Below are 20,410 nucleotides of genomic sequence, written 5' to 3'. Positions count from 1 at the left end.
ATATGATATGCTTTGAGGGACCCAAAGGAAAAAGGTCCCACCCTTAGGTCAAACTTTAAAAATGCCATATTCATAACACAAAAAACTCCAGCCTATTGGAATGCTGGCTACATCACAATATCACAGTTTCCATTTATTCGAAATTACCATTTATTAGAAATTAACCATCCCCCCTATACACACACACACACACACACACACACCCTGAAAGGGCTTTCCTTGTCTTAAGCCTCTGTGTATGAAACACTCTGGAACCCACCGGCCTAGGTGTTAGAACAGCACCGAAGTTGCCAGGGCCAGGGGTCCAGCCATCCTGACCTCTGCTAGCCACCCTGCAAGGGCCGATGTTCCCACGCAGGAGGCCCCAGGGAGGTGGTACTGAGCAACCGGCCACACCCAAGGAAACAGCTCAGAGCTCAACTTCCTCCTGAATTAGGCCACACCCGAGGCCTCCCGGGTCTCATCCACGCCTCTGGGTCCATCACTAAACAGAAGGCACAATCCCACTAACTCTTACTCCATCGCTGCTCATGAAACTCCTGCCAGTAAGGACTGGGTCAAGCACCTGAAAACCAGAGCTCGTCCGTGGCTTCACTTGTTTTGGACTAAGGAGCTGAGGAGCGTGCAAGACTGTACTTGGAGAATCTGTTTCTTGCTGCCATTTCGTCACTGAACACTATTTTTTTTCTCCTTCTTTTTTTGTAAGAAAAGGAGAACACATAAAACCCCACCAGAACAAACTCCACTCGGCCCTGAAAGTATTTACAATCACGGCCCTGAAAGTACTGAAAGTATTTACAATCACGTTACAGTTCATTCACTGCTGCAGAACCTCTCTCCAGCGATCAAGGTCGAAGGGAGCCGACGTCGCCCTCTATCGGCTCCCTGCTGCACTAGAAGGTAATTTAAACGAAAAGGCCCTTTGAAGCCAGTGTTCTCTATTTTCTTCGAAACTCCAGGTTTTGGGGGCTTCTTTTCTGTTTGTTGTTTGTTTGCTCAGTCTATGTTTTGATTTGCTGGTGAGGGAAGGCAGAGAGAGGAAGTGGAGCAGGAGCCCAGCGCGTTTCTATGGCCACCGCGACCACAGGCAGAGGGGGAGCCGTAGCAGGAAAGGCCAGGCCGCGCTCCGCACTGCGGGGGCCACGCCAACCTCCATCCGACTCCCACAGAAGCGCCCACAAAAGGCACTTTCATCACGTCCAGTGCCCGCTCCTGGGCCCACGGAATGCATTTGTTTTAGAGTCTCTGCAGAAACAATGTTTCCACATGCCAGCCACGCTCCGCAGACAGAAAGTTTCTTTGTGTTAGTGCCTGGTGTGATGTGACCTCCACTGGTACAGCATAGCCCGCCGCACCCCGGGGCCACAGCACTCTTCCATCCCGCAGCCGCATGAACCCCAGAAGGAGCTTCCACTGCAGGTGCCCAGAGCCTTCTCATCTCCCAGGGGAGGAGGAAGGATAGCAGTAGATACTTAAAATGCTCCTTGCCTCCCATTTGCTCAGTTCTGAATCCAGGTCTTGCTAAAGCAAAAGAGTTAGTGCCATCTTCAGATTAGAATTGGGGGAGGATGTGATCATACCTACCCATCAGTAGTCCTACGGAGGCATGGGGCTTCCTACCGACTCTCCAGGGGAAATGGGGGCCTGTAGGGTTTCTGGTGATGGTGGCTGACAGGCCATCCTCACCAGTCACCAAACCACTCAGGTAGGCCATAATCAGAGGATGATGAGGCGGTCCTGCTGACTACCTGAGGCCAGCCCGCATGCCGGCTGGCCAGCCTAAAGGGCAGTCCCTGTGCCCAGGCAAGGGCATGCTGCATCTTCAGAATGGAAACGCACCTCATCACTGGCAGGCCACCAGGGCCATCACAAGGTGTAGGAGCCACCATCCCTGTCCCCTCTTCTCTACCCTCCTCCCACACCATTCCTAGCCCTGTCTTTTGCAATGCTTAGATAATAGTCCATATGGCCTGACAGAACAGGGACCACTCATAAAATAATTGTCATCAAATGCTAGCTGTGTGCCCACCAGGAAAGGGGGGCAGGGGAGTACAGAAGAATATCAGTCAGTCAGTCTGACAAGCCCAGGCTTGAGTCCCAGTCCATGGCCCCCGAACCAACCTGGCCAAGTTACTTCACTTCTCTGAGCCTCAAATTCCTCTTCTGTACAATGAGGAAAATAATGCTCACCCTTCAGAAAGTTGTTATGATTTAAAATGCAACAACATATGTCAAGTATATAGACAGTGCCTGATAAGTCACAGCTAAAAATATTTTTTTTCTTCAGAGTCATATATAAGATAATAACAAAACAGATCTGATAATGTCATCCTAAGCTTAACACTCTTCATTGGGTCCACATTGTCTGCAGGATAAAGTCCATCCATTGCCATCAAATTGCTCCAGCCTAAATGTCCCAGCCTCATCTCCCATAATGCCACTCTGCACCCTGTGCCGCTCCAAGTTGTCCAAGCAGAATTTGTGTGTTTATGCTTTTACTTTTGAAATCCCCTCTGCTTGTACAACCCTCCTATATTCTATAGTCCTCAGGACCCAACCTTTCAGAGAAACCTTCTTTAATTCTCCACTCCCTCTCCCAATCAAAATCAATACAAGTGACATTCTTCTGTGTTCCCGTGGCATTTTGCATACACCCTTTCTAAAGTACATAATGCCTATGTGTGTGATGATTATGTACACATCTGTCTCTTTCCCTGTACTCAAAGCTCCTTGCAGACAGTCTTACATAGCATGGCGACTCCAGTCCCAGCACTGCTTACCCCACGGTAAGTACTTATTACTACTTACAGAAATGAATGATTAAAAGAAACAACTGAATGAATGAATTTTAAAGGAATCAGAACTGGAAAACAAGAAATTTCCCCTTCTCTAGCATCTGGATCATCTGTATCTAGTTAATTTGGAAGGCAAATGATTGGTGTGGCTTCTGTAGGCTGGGACATAGTTACAGTACTTCAATAATAGCATCCAGTTACCATGGTGTTTAATTCCTAGGCGTCCAAAGGAGCCTTCCCATTTACTGTGCTGGTAGTCAGAAACCCTACAACCTCTTTGAGAAGAAATGGAGGAGAATTCTACATGCTTTTTCAAGCAAAATTTTGAAAAACAAACACCAGACAAAGATGGGAGCATGAGAGATGCCAGGACTCCACAAACAAACATTTAAAATATATTTTTTTTAACCCAGTGAAGTGGTAGGGAATGAAAAACCAGAGAGAGAATAAAGCCATCGAGTTAAATGGAGCCTCCCAGATGCTCCAAATCATTAAGAGTTTAGATGGACTTGAAAGGAATGCTCCTTGGTCCACCCATTATCAGGAATCACGGGGACTATGGTGCTCTTCGGAAATCATCTGATTTAATTATTAGCCTCTAGAAAAAAAGGGCTCCACAGCACCGCCTCCCAATCTTGATTTAAATAGGGTTACTCATGGCAAGAGATACCTCAGCTATACTTGATCATCTGTTCCAAGGAGTTCTTTCTTGTACCTCTATGTTTTAGCTTACTGATTCTGAAATACATGGCCACTTCTCACACTAGCCTCAGTGGATATTTGTGAAATCCAATCAGACCTTCATCAATTCCTTTTTAAGGGAGAATAAGGCATGTATGTATGATCATACATATTTATGGTACCCTAGAAATGTCTGTTAGTCATATCATGTCAGCGCCTGATTTTATTCTGCTAGATGGTTTTCTTTATAGCTCACTACATATTGGGTCTCAAGTTATCCAGAGTTAGGCCATATCTTCACAAGACCTGCCCATTTCTGACATTTCATACTGTAGAGAAATCCGAACATTGAAAGAGGCCCAAACTTCTTTAGTGAATAAAGACTCAAAGAGTATTACTACAGGTTGTTAATCACAGGATTTTTTTTTAACAGAGTGCATCCATTTCTAATTATGTCAGCTTAGAGAGGACAGGATGTATTTAAATGGCCCTCATGTTTAGCACAGCATGTGGTAAATACTATTTGTTTGTGATAATGAAGGGGGAGAGAAAAAGAAATTTTGGCACATATGTGATTAATCTTACTTTAATAAAAAATATATGAATGAGTCGAATAATAGGGAGCAGGGCTGAGTAGGAGCAAACCAAGAAAGATATACTGCAAAAACAGAGAAAACATGTTTAGATAGAAAGAGAAGCAGAAGAGTAAAAGCAGAGAGAAGATAAAAATTACCACCCGATATAGGTCCATACTATTAATTCAGAAAGAGCTCGAATTCAGTCATATTTTTTTTCTCATTGGGTTTCTATAAAAATCTCACTGTGAAGACCTTCAAAATTAATTGATGTCTGCAGCAAGAATGTGAATAACCATCCACCTCAGCAAGGAACATTACATGCTGACATGCATCTCCCACACAGGTGTCCAGGGTCAGAATTAAACGAACAGATGTACCCAGAGCTGATTTTCATGAATTTCAAATACTTAGGTTAGTCAGCTTCTAAAAACAAGCAGATCCAAAGTGACATGGTAGGTTTTTTTAGTTTTGTTTTTACTTCTTGCTTATTAAATCCAGAGCTGCCTATACAGGGGGCAGCATCAAGACATTTGAAAGCACAATTGCCACAGCATTCACATTTGAAGGAAATGATTTGATGATGAAAAGCAAAGTAGCAGGAGATGCCCCCCAGCTCTGTCCAGATGGCAAGCCTGCCAATGCAAGCTTCAACCTGCCCCTGATTTGAAAGGACAAGGTAGAGCAATGTGCAAATTGCTTCATCTCCCTGCTGCTATTTTGACATGAATCCTCCAGGGCCAATGCCAGTCCTAGAGAAAAGGACTGATCTCTAAGATGTAAATGTAGGCTTGAGGCTACCTGTTTGGAGGAATAAATGTCAGGATCTGGGTGGGATGGTTGAAAATGGGTTAGGAGAAAGCATAATTAAGGAATGCTGAATGGCAAGACCAGCTCAATAACCAACACGGTAATGTGATTTTATGACACTGTAGAAAATTTCTAAATGGCAAAAATTTTCCATATTTAAGGCTTCTTGCTGAGAGATATTAGTAAAAGGGAGACAGACACACAGAATAAATCAACCAAAGATGTACAACTGGAGCATCAGGAATATATATTTTCTCCTTCAAAGGAAAAAGGAGGTTCCATACCTGCAGCCAGTGTTTTAAAATTATTACAGAAATAGTGTGAACACAGCTTACCTTGCTTTTAAGCTTTTGGGTGACAAAATAAAAAAGGTGGCAAAAGAAATAAAGACATGTCCTTGAAAAGGGAGAATAGAGAGATTAAATAATTTGCCTGACATCATAGCAAATCAGGGCTAGAACCGAGGCTATAGAATTCAGTGTTTCCAATTAGCAGGCCTCTGCTTACAGTCAAGGCACATTGATTCCTAGGCTGCAAATATCACTTAATGCTTTCAATTACTCTGAATGGCCCAGGAGGAAATAAAGAAATAGCACTTACCTTTGACAATTTGCTTCGCACATGCATTGTAAACCTGCTCTTGGGTCGTGTTGGGAGGTAGCACTCTGTCGAAGACATATGGCTTCCCTTGCTAAAAAAGAAAGACAAAGGGAAGAAAAAGGTGGAAAAAACACATTAGATGTTTAGGAATAAAAAATCGCAAACATTAGTAGCTAGGCCATAGGCACTAAGTCACCAACCCTGTTCTTTAAGGCAGTTCATTACCAAGAGCAGGGAATTTTTACAGCATAAACCACACATGCATTGTGTATATGTGCACTGTATGTTGAGAATCTGAGATTTTAAAAAAATTTAAATTGAACCACTTTTTAAATGAAGGGTAGGTTGAGACTCATTCATTCATTCAAACAAATATTTACTGAGCACTTACACAGAGCCTGGCACTGGGCTAGATGCTGAAAAAAAAAATCACAAAACAGTCTTGCTCTTGTGAATCATTCAATTAAGTTGAGCAGATAGCTAATAAGCAAGAAAGCAAACACATAGGAAAACGCAAAATGCCTAGGTTTAAAACAGTGGGACAGAGGGAATGCTAGAGAGGGCAAGGAAAGCCTGGTGAAGAAGGACCACTTAAGTGTATCTTTACAGGATCGGGAAGATGGAGGCTCCTGAAGAGCTGTAGAAGCGCATCCTAGGCAGAAGCCCAGCAGACAGCAAAGGGCCTGGTTTGTTCAAGGAACTGGAGGGCAAGAAAATCAGGAGCCAATTCATGCAGGGCACAGTTAGCCAAGGTGATGTGCTTAAATGTTAGCCAATGGGAAGATGGGACAAACAGATTTAAGTAGCTGCTCTTATTAGAAAGATATTATTGCTTTGTGTCCAAAAGAATTCCTGTGTTTTCTTTCTCATGCACAAGTGATGTTTTAACTGGGTTGAGGCTTCCAAGACAAAGAGAGCCCTTCTGTAGAGTAAATCAAGAGATTTCCCCAGGTGTGTGGTCTTGGGATTTGGTTTGATGCTCAAATGTGTGTGTTTCAAGGAAATAACTAGTAGAGGTAAGGGAAGAAACTCCACCGTGCATTATATGTGCCCTGACGCCCAATCACTGTATGCTTAATAAGGAGTTACTGGGCATTTAGGTGCCAGGCACAGTGCTGAGTGCTGGGGAAGTGGTGGGTGGGACAGACACAGCCCCTTCCCTAGGAGAACCCATCCTGAGGGCACCTCTTCTCTACCACCACCGCCCAGGCAGGAGGCAATCATGCTCACCCTCTTCCACAGCCGGACTCACTCAGGAGGCCCTTCATCTTCATGTTCCCCACATAGCAGAGGGGAGGGCAGAAGATGAGAGGGAGGAGAGAGCAGAGCCAAGAGCCTCCTTTTCTCCCACTGTGCCCCTCCTATGTGTGGCTCTGGACACCAGGAACCACCCAAGGACAGTGGGACTCCTCGAAAAGATAATTGCTCATGAGGGATCCAAGAGCAAGGCTTGTTACATCCTATAACCTTCACACAAAGTAAGTACACAGCTGTCAGAATGGCTTAATGTTCTACTTATTTATTACTTGGGTAGAGCTGAACTGGAGATAAAATCCTAGCCCTTAAGCTTTACTCTTTGAAAACTGGATAGCACCAGCCAGGTAAAGGAGCTACTTCCATTTGGTCTTAGAGAAATAGGGAATTTTCAGTTACTATAAAATTTTGTTTTGATGCAAAGCAGCAGAACCAGAGTCATTCTGCTAAAATTATAGAAATAGAACATTTTCTGATGTTTTGTTTGCAGTAAGTTTCCTTCAGTTAGTGAATCAAGGATTTGGTTGAATAACCAATAGACTATTCCTCACCACAGTCTATTGCCAACTATCAGCCTACTACATGCTTATTAAGCTTTATCTATTTGTAAAATTCAACTAAATGTCAGTAAGGTAAAAGGTAAGAGTAAATATTTGCAGAGTTTGTCTGGGTATTTGTTATCAATTGAACTTTCTGGAACAAAAATGTAGCTTTGCTTAATTTAAAACAAATCCCCTATTTATACAAACAATGAGAATCACCAAAGTAAAGCGTCTTGTTTACAGCTTGATCCTGCTTTGGGTTTTAGAGAAAATACACTTAATACAGCAGACAAAATGACCTGTTAAATTATAGCACATGGTACAAAAAAAAAAGGACTCCTCAGTTTTGCCCTTCTGTTTAAAATGTTTATTAGAATGCATTATGCCTTCACTTTAAGAGAAGTAGAGAGCAAGAAATCTCTATTCCTCATTTAAATAACATAATTTATCAAATGACAAACAGATAATACAGCGATTCTTCATAACCTAAAGTTAACTCCCAAACAGAAGTTGCCTTCAAGTCATTATGATTGATACTAAGAAAAGATAAAATTTAGAAAGTGATTTGTTATGAGACCTATCTTGTCAGGATTAACACGTTATGTAGTTAAAAATGTAAATATTTTTATGTGTCCTGTCTTGCACTGAGTTAGTTATAGGCTTTTATTTTAGGTCAACCTTAAAGTCTCGGAAGAGATTGATCAGAATTTAGTTATTGAATATTTTCAAAGAACTGACTTGGGGCATAGCTGTACCAGCTGTATATATAATTGATAATTGCCATTTTAAAAAATCACTAATTACTCTTTGCTGCTTTAGTAATGGTATGAAAATCTCACAAATCCTGATTGAGACTTGAACAAAGACCCTTCCCCAGTAGCCCCCAAGGAGGCAAGATTGCCCATTTTTTATTCCACCATGGCTAAAGGTTTCTCCAGGCATGCACTGGGCCCAACTTGCTCTAGTCATCACTGAGTTTACAGCTACAGAATACACTTTTCAAATGACATTTAATGCAGGTTCTGGGTACTAACACTTGAAACCTAATGATGAGGTCACCAGTCACTCCTTCTGGAGACACGAGTCCCTTCCAGGTGTCTATGCAGCACATGGCTCTCTCCAACCTCTCTGGCTACCTCCATCAATGTCCTTTGCTGGCGTTTCTTTCAAACTTCTAAATGGTGGTGTATTCAAGACCCAGACCTCTGCCTCCTTTCTGTCTACACTCTTGAGTTACATGTAATTTAAATGAATATTTCAGCCTTCATCTCTCTTCTAACATCCAGATTCACATGTCCTCTAGACATTTCCATTTAGGTGTCCATGAGCCATCTCAAATTTAACTGACCAAAAAAGAGCCATCAAGCCCTCCATATCTGAGTAAGAACTATACCACCAATCACCTAGTTACTCAGACTGAAAACTAAGAACCATTCAATATGTCCCATAGATTCCATATCCAAACTATATCCCAAACCCTATCACTTCTCACCATCTATACCATGCAAACTTAGTCCATCATTTCTCCATTAGTCTCTTCTACACAACAGCTATCACCTCCTGACTGGTCTCCCTTCCTTAATTCTCGCTCCTAACTATCAAATTTCCACTTAGCAGCTAAAATGAGCTTCCTAAAACTGTAAATCAGATACCAATTCCTTGCCTAATTCCTTCCAAAGGCTCCTATTATTCTTAGATTAGACCCTCTTTGCCCTCAGCTGCCTGCATCATCCTCCATCTCACTACAGTGTGGCCCCACGGACTTTTCTCTGTATGATGCTTATTCCCCAGTTCACAGCCTTTGCTCTTAACTCTTCCTTTCCCTTAGAATTATCTCACTGCAGATATTCATTTACCTGTCTCCTTATCACTACTCTTTAGAACTCAATTCAAATTTCTCCTTCCCTGAAAGTTTTCATGGTCCTAGGAGCCCCAACCCCACCCAGGTATCACTCTCTATTACATTACCTGAATTAGTTTGCTCCATAGTAGTTAGTATGTGACTAATTATCAATCAATCTAATTAACCACTACAATTATAGCATTTTACCAGCTAAAACAGAAGCCATATAAATCCCAAGTCCTAACCCCATGTAGGCAAACCTGTTTCAATTTATGAAGGGAATCTGGATGAGACACACACATTCCACACACATTACTACTGAAAATAAAGTATACAAGCTTTGCCTTGAAGCCTGCATGTGGAACAGTGCTAATTACATAGGAGCAGTATAACTAAAATTAATAATTTACCAGGATCACATACAAAAAATAACAGCAGATGGTTCTTACACTTTTATAGTTAAATTTTTAAAAAATCATACCACCAGAACTCTATCAAATTGTTGAATGCAAGGTGTCTGGGAACCATATGGCCTGCCTATTAATACATTTGACCCATTACCCAATAACTGTTTCCCAGCCTGGAAGGAATATTACTCTGGGAGACAACAGAAAGCAAAAGATTCACATAAACGTTTTGAAGATGGGCACCAGGAGGGATGTTAAGGAAAGTGAAATTAATTATCCCCAAGAAGAGATCATTAAGAAGTAATCCAATAACAAGCTCTAAGACTGACGACGAATTGTAGCATAAGGCTGCCAATGATTTGAATGATTTTTCTGCTCTCTTTATCAAGAAAGAAACAAGCAAAGGCTAAAATTTTCACAGAGAGATTTAAACTCACTCTGTGGAATTACCTTCTGACACTGAGGAGTACTGTATTCAGAAGAGGAACTGACTATGGAGAACAATAAGTAACTCTGTGTTCCAGGCACTTATATGATTTCATTCCTGAAAGTACAGAAATGACAAGTTCTTTCAGCCTGTGCTGTCACCTTAACACTGTCACCAACACCATCACCAACCACGATGACCCATGCCCTTTTATACTCTAGCCCATTTAATTCTCATAAGAACTCTATGAGCTAGGTATTATTATCCCCATTTTACAAACTGGAAAACTAAGGCCAAGCCATATTATCTGCTCTATTACTTAGGGGAAATAACTGCCAGGCCCTTACTTCAAGGGTTCTTCCTTTACGGAGTACTGGTTTCCTAAAAAGCTTATGATTTGCCAGAAAAGCAGGAGACATCCGCAATAACACATGCTAAGACTAATATGAAAGACTGAAGCAAAGTGATTATGAGGTAACAAAAGACAGAGATCCCTACTGTAGCCTGTGGCAGTCAAGAAAGTGTTAACCATGAAGGTAGTGCTGACATGAAACCGTTGAGGAAAGAAAAACTGAAGATATGGGAAGAAGGCAAGATTGGGGAAAAAAATAAAAAATTAAAAAAAGCAGAGGGCATGCAATGGCAAGCATTCCTTTCAACAGAAGGAATTAAAAATGGGCAAAGGCCAATCAGAGGCTAGGGAAAGACAGATGCAAGGCTTGCTATGGAAAGTTGAAGTTATTTTTAAAATTGTATAATTTTTCAGAGCCAAAAGGTCCTTCCAGGTCATTTCAACCCATCAGCATGTTTTATAAATAAAGAAAGATCAGGAGAGGGTAGATGGCATGCGTGCAGCCAGCTAGGTAGGCAGCAGATGTGTGCCTCGCATCCAGACCTCCTGCCTCCCTATCCAGTGCTCTAGAAGTTCCACTTTAAAATCACTTGCTCTCTCCAAACGTCAAGGAAACAATAAGCCTGAATTTCTGGTCCTTTTTTCCCCCTGCTTTCCTCCCAATCAATTCCAAATTATTTTCAAATACAAAATTAATTAGTCCAATGAACAAAGAGTTTTGCTCAAGATGTGGTCAGTGTCATTCTGTTTTTAAAAAAAAAAAAAGTTGGTGACCAACCTACATCAGGCATTTGCATTACACTAAACTTACCAAGCAGTTATCCCCTAAATGAAGTGAAATGAAAAAGTGACGGTCATTCACAATGTACCAGCTCAGGAACTTGACATCCTATTATCCTCACGACACCTAAGTGCTGAATCACATCTTGGGCCCCTCCAGGTCCCCAGGCCTGTGACTCCTGAGCTCAGCTCCACAGAGCACAGGGGCCATTTAATTTCCAAGAGCCCCAGAAAAATTTACCCTGTTTCAAGGCCATCCTCTGCACTCTTTAAAAATAAACAAAATTTCAATGTTCATTCATAAAGTCTATTCACAAAAGGCAAGGAGCCATGTCTGGTACAGGCACTTGTACACTCACCAGCTTTACTGTTACAGCTTTGGAGACTCTGGAAACTTCTGTGAAAATACAAATGGCAGACCTGCAGCAGATGCTGTCAGGGGCCTGACTATCCTCTCACTCTCCACCACTTCCATGTAAGCTAGTCTAACCTCCCACAGTCAGCTCCTGCATCTCTCTGCCTGGCTAGTCTAACTTCTCATGGTCAGCTCCTGCATCTCTCTACCTGAAGGCTTTTCTGGCTGCTGGAGCCCTCTTGGTCACCCGCAACAGGCCAAAGGGATGTTGTGGGTACCAACCCCAGCAGTTCTTAGTCAATGGCTATTAAGAGTTGGGGGGTCAATACTTTAGCTCCCATGCCCAGGGGTGGTAGTGCAGGGGTGACCCTGAGGCATGTATTCCAAACTGGCACCCAGACCTCCCCAGTGGGATGAGGCTCCCATTACCCCTAGTGGGAACTCACGTGATGGCGCACTCTATATGGGTCCTTCGCTTCCCTGCCTCACTTCACTCTTCATCAGTGTTTCCTAGGATCATCTCCCAAAGAAACCTGCACTTCCATCCTTGCCTCAGGGTCTGCTTCTGGGGGAGCCCCAAGTAAGGCAAAATTCAAGACATTTTGCTCCCAAAGTTCTTTCATTCAGTAGGTCCTAAAAGATCTGGACTGGTGGTTTCACTGTCAAATATGAAGCCATCACATTTGGTTGGTGCTCAGCCAACAAATTGAGTGGAAATTGAAATCCTTGCTAAAATTCAACAAGCTGGGGCTTTGGGACACTATCCTGGAAAGGGGGTACACCTTTTCCTTCATAAAAGGATGCTTGCTGGTCACTTGCCAAGCAATGGTCCCACGGGGCCACATCCACCCAGGGAATTATCAGTTTCTAACTGACACAATTCTAGAAGCATCAAAGGCTCTTGAAGGCCCTGGCCTAGCAGAGCACCTTAATGGTGCAGGGCAGGTGCTCAATAGATGTCTGTTGATCATAATGATGACTAATACCTGCCAGATGGGCCCCAGGGATGCTAGAGGAGGGTGCCACTCTCAAATGGTGTACGATACAGGAGACGCACACTGTATTTCTCCAGTGTGTCAGAAACTTCACGTATTTCCCACCATTCTTACTCCCCACCAAGATTTTAGCAGTCCTGAAGTCACTATGTCTTTCTACACCCCTTTACCTCTTTACCCCATTACCTACCTTCCCATTTATCTGAAGCTGGCCTGCAAATTGCCAAGGCAGGAAAAACCCCACTTTGCACATTGGGGCAAAACATCCCATACCTGGCAATGACCACCAGCTCTTTTCCATCACCATTATACCCTCTCCAGGGTCTACTCATTTGCAATGGCAGCCTCACAGGGAGACCCTAAGGCCATGCTGATATCTCCAGTCAGCAGAAGCCTCTACTCCAGCTCCCCATTCTCCTCTCCACTCCACTGCCTGCCCAGTCTACATGGGATGACGCTGTAACTGGGAGTATAAGTGCTAAGCCAGAGCTGCCCCTGGACATTGCCCTCCCCCTCCCCACACTGGCTCCATGCCCCAAGGCATGGAAAGCAGCTGGTGCCAGTTCCGGCCAAAGCCAAGGCTGCTCCCAGGAGAATCTGCAATGAAACAAATGTCCACAAAGCAGCCACTGGCTTCTAATGGAGTTGCCAAGGCAATGCCAACCACTTCACGTATTGAGAAGGAACAAAGGCAACACACAAGAATGAATCTTGTAAGCCTTCCTGCGGGAAACCAGGCTAGAATTCTTTCCTTTCTGCCAAAATTCCCACTGTGTGGACACACAGACACTGTCAAGATCACAGACAGCTACAAAAGAACATTCTGAGAAGGCAAACTGCCCGAGTGATAATGAAGAAATTCAGAATCATTGCCTGGCTAACAGGCATAAAGAAGACAGAAGTGTTACTTCTGTTAAAGAGAATAATGGAACCTGTGCCTCAAAAATAAGGTTCTTATGTGTATGTGATTTTCATTTCAGATCAAAATACAGTGAACTCCTTTCTCTCCCACCCCCAAGCTCTTTCGCCTTTGATTGCTGTGTACCCTTACCTACAGGGGGTAGGAGGAAAAGTCAGGCAACTGGTTCTAGTCCAGAAACTGGCCCCTCACCTGCTTTGAGACCTTGATCAATTTACCTATATTTTCTAAGCCTCTTCCTCTCTGTAAAGTCAAAGGTTGAATAGTTCTGGCTCTAACAAGCTATCACAATAATGAGCGGTAAGGAATGCTGTGATTTCCCGTCAGAATGGCTTCTGCCTTGACCTATAGCATGAGAGAAGGTAAGCTGTAAACAGGAGAGAGCTCCGGGTTCTCTGCACTCAGAGGAAGGAGCAGAAATTGCTGCCATGGTTATTTCAGCAGATCAAGTTTTCTGCCAAGTCAAGTCTGAAGAAAAAAAAAACAAACCTTCTTCACTGGATGGGAGGTGAAAAAGCCATTTCACAGAAGGTAGAATGGAGGATCTCTTGCGCCAAATGGAAGATAACAAGGATAGCACTGAGCCTTCTCTCTGGGGTACACCGCCCTGGTGGGGCTTCCTGGCACAGTGCAGTACCATCCGGTCAAACTGCCGCTCGACAAACCTCTCCCAGTTACGCTGAGTCTCATGATGGCGCTGCCAACATGGGAACACGTGGTGACACATGTAAAGTTCTCTTCCCTTTAGTTAAAAAATCAAAAACAAAAGCTTTCCCCAGACCTTCACTTGGCTAAGTATGATGCATAGAGAGGCTTCTGAAAAACACTGCAAATATTTACTGCCAATAGAATTAACATTTGTTAACTTTTTTTCACTCTTCAGAAACAGCTTACATAATTATAATTATCCCATGTATTGAGCAGCAATTTTACTTTTATAATAAGTTAAGGCCCCTCAGTTCCATTTGTTCCTCATGATTTTGGGGGTCAGACAAGAATATCAACTTCACTTTCTGGGAATGGAGAATAACTTCCCATGGCCATGTGGAAGGCAAAACTTTGAGCTGAGACTGGGATCCAGAATTTCTGGTTCCCAGCCAAGCCTTCTACCCATAACACCATATTGCATCTTGTAACTGTTCCCTCAACTATAGATTTTCTAAGAATTCCACACATTTGGGTTTAGAACATGATGCCATATAACCTAGAGTGCAATGGCTTGCTTCTACATATTATGGATAAAATAACTCCCATAAATTACAAGGAAAATGTTCCACAAATGAGTATAATTACATTAACCAAAACTAGCAATAGTCATTAAGTTCAGGATGTCTATATCACAATGGGTATTTAACATGCCACTCCCATTCAAACATAGTGCACTAGCACTATAAATGAGAGCTGCTGGATGCAAACTCCAAATAGGTCTTTAATAGTCAACTACATCTAGATGGACCATCTGGAACTTGGGCTACACAAGGCTCATGCATCCCAGGGTACATCATCTCAGTTGTCATGCAGGAGAAGGGACATTTGACCCACAGTAGCAATGGTGGGTTGCCCAACTGGCAGATGAAGTACTTGAAGCACTAAAATATATATACAGGCCAGGTGCAACAGCTCATACCTGTAATCCCAGTACTTTGGGAGCCCGTAGTGGGAAGATCACTTGAGGCCAGGAGTTTGAGACCAGCCTAGGCAACACAGAAAGACCCCAACTCTATAAAATATTTTTTAAAAATTAGCCAGTTGTGGTGGTGCACACCTGTTAGTCCTAGCTAGTCAGGAGGCTGTGGTGAGAGGATCATGTGAGCCCAATAATTTGAGGCTTCAGTGAACTACGATCATGCCACTGCACTAAGGCCTGGGCCACAGAGCAAGACCCTGACTCCAACATATATACACACATAGAATTTTTTCTTTAAAAACTTTTTGTTGCTGAATTCAGCCACAATTTTATAAGCCAAAAATCTTTAAAAAGTGATTTTGAGTGTAGTTGACACACAAGCATTGCATCTTTTAAAAGATTTCTAATTTTAGTTGGAGGACAGGGTACCATATTTTTCAACGCTTAGGTATTGGAAGAGCTGGGTGGCCACACACATGTGGAATTTGAAGAACAAACTCTCCCAACACTTCCTTCTGCCAGCCCCTGCCCCTGCTTCCTGACTTGAAGTTCCACCATTTGAACCACTAATGGACTCAATAACTTTTAAAAGAAGACTATGATTCCAGAAGGCTAATTTATCAAAAATAGCCCTCTAATCTTCTGCTAGGAGCAGCAATTAGCTTATCAGATTCGTTAGTTAATAGAACCAAGATAAACCAATTGTTCATTTCTAAGCAGTGAAGTTGGGATGGGGAGGAAAGAGGGAGGGGCAGGAGGAAGGGAAGGGTTTCCCAAGCCAAGCAGGAAAAATCAGTGTGATGAGGGAGATGGCACCACAGGCAAATGTCATTTCCTTCACAACTAGCCTAGGATGGGCCAGCAGATAATAGTTTAAACCTACTATCCAAAGCAGCTTTTGCCCAGCAATCTAGGGTAATAATTGTTTAATATACACCAAGGCTCAGGTACTGAAGGGCCACTTACTGGCACCCTCTCCCTTAAGATGGGAGCCCTGGGTTCATCCAAGATTTCCTTCCAATATCCACCTCTTCACAGGCTCCTTTCTTTCAATGTAAAGCATGCTTATGTTTTCTTATTCTCTTAAGTTTTTTCTTTGTCCTCCCTCAAACTACTGCCCCAGCTCTAACCCCTTTCTCTATCAAACTATTTAGAAGGTTGGTCTTCTCATGCCTCTACTTCCTTACCCCTCCCATCACATCCTGCCACCTAATTTTTGCTCTCATTCATCTGCCTTCTTAAAGGGCTTCATGGCCTCTTAATCTTCAATTCTAAGACACTTTGATGGTCTGCAATATCCTCAATATTCACAAGGGTAGAATTGTGCACCAGCCCGGCCTTGTGGAAACTCTGCTCAGCAGCCCCCCTGGATGCTGCATTCTCTGGCTCAGCTTCCTTCCTCTTTGACCCCTTCTTTTCCTCTGTCACTGCCAATTTTTCTTTTTCTCCTTCCTGCCAATTCCAAATTTAAGAATGTCTCCAGATCTCTCACTGGGCCTCTTCTCTTCTCTTTTGCACCTTCCGTTTCCATACTCTCTCACATGGAAAGGCACAAACATTCCTGTAGTTTTAGCCACATGCTGTAGGCAGAAGACGAACAAAGTCCATCCTGAACTCTGAGTCCCAAACCCACATTGTTAACTATCTAATTAAAACCTCCAATTAGATGTCCCCAAGTACCCTAAACAATATATGTTGAAAAGAGAGCTTACTGCCTGTCTTCTCTGCCTCCTTCTCCTCCACCTCTTCCTTTCACTATCCCCAGTCATCCAGGATAAAAAGCTCAGAGCTATCTCTCCCACAGTTGTCCCTCACCACCATCATGCAATCAGTTGCCACAGAGTGGTCATTCATTTCTTTGATCTATCTCATTTTGTGTCTCAACTATTCTTACTACTTTTTGCCTAGACTTGTACAAGGGCCTTCTAAGTGATCCACTTGTCTGTCTTTTCTCCAATGTGCTCCACATCCTTTGCCAAATCCATCTGCCTCTGGCCCAGCAACTAAAAGAGCTTGCTAGGATGCTCTATGGTATATGATCCCCCTAGTGCAACAGCAGACCTACCAATCCCCACAGGAATGTCCTTCTCTACTGGACCTCACTGCTCTGACGATTCCCTCTAACTAGAATGCCATCTCAATGATTTGACCGTGTTATCTGTCAAAACACTACCCATTCCTCTGGAAGCACCATGTCATGGAAAAAATGCAGGATCCAGAGTTAGAGACTGGGGTGAGAGAGGGCTAATATATTTGACTGACTCTTGTATGCTAGACCCTATGTTTTACCTGGGGCATAACATAGATTGCTGACAACTATTCTTTAATGTAATTGCCACTCTTCATTTTACAAGTGACAAGGTCAGGTTCAGAGATGTCCATGGCTTGCACAGGGTCACAAAGCACGTATTACATTGGCTTCACATGGTAGTTGTGAGAACAAATAATAAAAGGCATATAAAATTACTTTACAAATTGCAAATTACAAATTGCACATATGTTATTAACATTATAACTTATCTTACCCTTTTATAGATTTTTAGTTATTTAAGGACATGTTTTCTATCTTACCCATCTTTGGATTCCCTGCAGCATTTATGATAAGTATTAAAAGTGCTTACATTAATAGCTGTTTAATTAAATTGGATTTTTCATGTCACATTTTGAATTAATAGAATTTTTAAAATTTTACTCCAAAATTAAAGCTGCCACTTATTGAACAGGTCCAAGTGCCAGGCAGAGACTACCATGAATCTCCACAGCAGTGCTCCAAGGTTAGCATTATAATATCCATTTTACAGATGGAGAAATCAGAGTTCAGAGACAACACATAATAGTCGCACAGCGATAAGTAGGAGAGGCAGGAGGGTCTGATTTCAGAGCTCATGATTTCCCACCATTAAAGACTCTCGATCACAGATATCCAATTCACCTAGAACCACCAAAATCTAAAATTTCTGCAACTGAGGTGATTCCCATCTCTTGTGAGCAGAGAAACGTTATTTTCCTTCTTATAGCCATAGTGCTGAGAGCTCTCTTTCAGACTCTGCTCAGCATTAATTACCACATCCTCATGAACACTGGCATAATCAGCCCTCTGCCCCACACAACTAAACATCTTTCTTACAGTTTTACAAATTTAGGGTTTCTCGTCTTACTGCTTTATTCAACAGATATTGACTGAGAATCCTCCATGTGCCAAGTACTGTTCAAAAACACTGGGAACCCAGCAGGGATGAGCCACAAGTTTCCTTGTCTTTACGAAGCTTTCATTCTGAGGGAGTGGAGAGAGACAAGCAATAAACAACCAATCAAAACAAAGATGACTCCTCTGAGTGTTGTGATATGCGGGTCAAGGAGGATGGCTCCCAGGATGTGACCTCAGAGCAGAAGCCTGGAGGCTTGCCAGCAGCGGGAAGAGCAGCGGCAGGGCACTGCAGGCAGAGGTGACCAAAAGCGTGAAACCTTGAGCTGGGAAGCACGTGGTCTGCTGGAAAGTGGGCTGATGTATTTGAAGAGAGCAAGGAGCAGAATGGTACAATGGGGTGATGGGGGAAGAGCCAGGCAGAGCCCAGTGCTGCAAAGCCCGGTAGCACATACATGTGTAACGTACCTTGAAGCAAATGAATGGCCTGATCTGGTTTCTGTTTTGGCTGCTCTGTGGTGATGTGGTGCCTGGGAGGCAAAGAAGCTGGGAAAGAAGCGGTTTTTCTCTTCTAGGTACTTTAAAGCTCTATAATATATGCTCAGGTGAAATTTGGCTGGTATTTTCAGGGACTTCACTGCTTTTGTGCCATACTGGCCTCATCATGTAGATAACATCACGGATTCATTCCATCTTATTATTCTGTAAGAGTGATGTCTAATTTTTTTAAAAAAGAATCAGCTTTAAAAAATGCAAAGTCTCATAGAAAGTAACTCTTTTCTATTTTAAGCAAGCATTCAGAATATTAGCAGTGCTAATCAGTACCTCACTAAACAGTTATGACTGATTCTAAGTGCAAAGTGGGGAATGAGAGTAACAGAGAGTATTTACTGGCTGCTAAAAGCAGGTACAATGGGGAGCATGCTAGAGAAACTGTCTCACTGAATCCTCGGATGACCCCATGGTGTAGGTAATACTGGAGAAACTGAGGCTGCAGTGGCCACATGACTTGCACAAGGCCACCCAGTAAGAATGGGATAGAACAAGAGCCCATGTCCATAACCCCTCTCCTACTACGCTAAGGTCAGGGTGGCCCTTTAAGGTGACCAAAGGGTTAGAAATAACAAACAAGAGTGGATGAACCTAGGTTTATTTTGTCTGGAGGAGAGAAATCTTTGAGAGTGATTAATTAAAGCATATTCAGGATATTTTTTAAATAAACGGAGAGAGCTGTTCTCCATCATCCCTAATGGTAGAAGAAAAGGCCTTCACCCTCAGCCTGGCAGGTGAAGACAGAGATAAAGAATGTGCAGACTGTGGGATCTTGCTGGGAGGGAGGCAGGACTCACCTACCTAGTCTGTCTCTGATGCATTTCTTTGGAAAATGCATGTTGACAGTGCTTCTAAAAGTAATCATATGAGCTGCCTGAAAAGGTCAACTTTCAACTCTGGTAAAGATTGGGATGCCTTTTCCAGATTAATTCCACATTGGTGTTTGTGGGCAATGCTGAAACAAAAGAAAATCCAGGCTAGCCAAAACTTTTCACATAAATAGTGACAAAAGCAACCGAGTGGCTGGACAGATTTGAGACAGGAACAGCCCGAGGACTACAGCAGGGGCTCCCAGTCTGGAGACTCTAACATAGATCTCCAGATGACCCCAATGACTGGGAATTGCTTTTACTCTGGACAGCCTGCTGGGCGGCCCCAGTTGACTGTCCCGGGTATGTCCCGGGTCGCTAACCACTTTGACTGCCCCTGAGCCACAGAGTCAGGCAGGAGTCAGGGACACGTAGGTACTCTCTTCTCCCTGCCCCTCACCTTCCTTCAGGGCCACCTCGGCCACAAAGGCTGGCTCCACATCAGTCAGCTACTCAGACATGCTCTCGCCTCACCTCCTCCTTCCCACTCTTCCCCTGATGCCCACAGGCTGGATTTCAGGTCAGGAAGCACTAGGCTTGGAGCCATATGCTGAAAATGACTTCCCTTTTCTTCCTAGATTAGATTTGCTGCAAATGGCTCTGCTCCCACAAGCTCCATGATCCAATATACCCAGGAATAAAATCTAAGGGACATATGGTTACAGGGAGCAAGATCAGAAGAGACTTCAGCCTCCTGGGTTAATGCACAAAGCTTGCAGCTGGTCATGCAGTGTGCTGGGCCCTTTCCATGGCCATAAATCCACACCTGGGTGCATTAATGCCACTGCGTCTGGAGCCCATGTGCTTCACAATGGAGAGTTGAAGTAACTGCAGGCTGTCCTTCACAGGCCATATCCTCAAGGAGGCGGTCCTTGTGACACA

At 43.2% G+C, this 20,410-nt stretch overlaps 1 protein-coding gene and 1 long non-coding RNA gene across 4 annotated transcripts in view, besides 2 other annotated features; one reads left to right on the top strand and one right to left on the bottom strand.

Annotated features, from left to right (window-relative positions):
• KIF5C (kinesin family member 5C) overlaps positions 1-20,410 on the bottom strand; it is a 151,533-nt gene that overhangs the window by 99,071 nt on the left and 32,052 nt on the right. For both annotated transcript variants that reach the window (NM_004522.3, XM_017004062.2), the window contains exon 2: positions 5,462-5,552. In NM_004522.3, the coding sequence (NP_004513.1) occupies positions 5,462-5,552 (91 nt within the window). The remainder of the gene's footprint in view (positions 1-5,461; positions 5,553-20,410) is intronic.
• On the top strand, positions 440-18,283 carry LOC101928553 (uncharacterized). Of its 2 annotated transcripts, NR_187658.1 has the most exons (3): positions 440-900; positions 6,704-6,939; positions 18,136-18,283. It is a non-coding gene; the product is annotated as an uncharacterized LOC101928553 (long non-coding RNA). The 2 variants fall into 2 exon arrangements; NR_187659.1 differs by lacking the exon at positions 6,704-6,939.
• Positions 1,066-1,690: an enhancer, noted in NCBI's record as "H3K27ac-H3K4me1 hESC enhancer chr2:149683568-149684192 (GRCh37/hg19 assembly coordinates)". NCBI's record gives its function as "activates a minimal SCP1, AML or CMV promoter by ChIP-STARR-seq in naive and primed H9 embryonic stem cells {active_cell/tissue: H9 hESC(naive and primed)}" and the evidence as "EXISTENCE:reporter gene assay evidence [ECO:0000049][PMID:30033119]".
• Positions 18,215-18,509: a silencer, noted in NCBI's record as "tiled region #1843; HepG2 Repressive non-DNase unmatched - State 20:ReprD, and K562 Repressive non-DNase unmatched - State 20:ReprD". NCBI's record gives its function as "represses a minimal TATA promoter and a strong SV40 promoter by Sharpr-MPRA in HepG2 and K562 cells {active_cell/tissue: HepG2 | K562}" and the evidence as "EXISTENCE:reporter gene assay evidence [ECO:0000049][PMID:27701403]".

Source organism: Homo sapiens, chromosome 2 (assembly GCF_000001405.40).
Source record: "Homo sapiens chromosome 2, GRCh38.p14 Primary Assembly".
Lineage (NCBI taxonomy): Eukaryota > Metazoa > Chordata > Mammalia > Primates > Hominidae > Homo > Homo sapiens.
The sequence above is the reverse complement of the archived record's forward strand: the minus strand, read 5'-3'. Positions and strand labels throughout refer to the sequence as shown.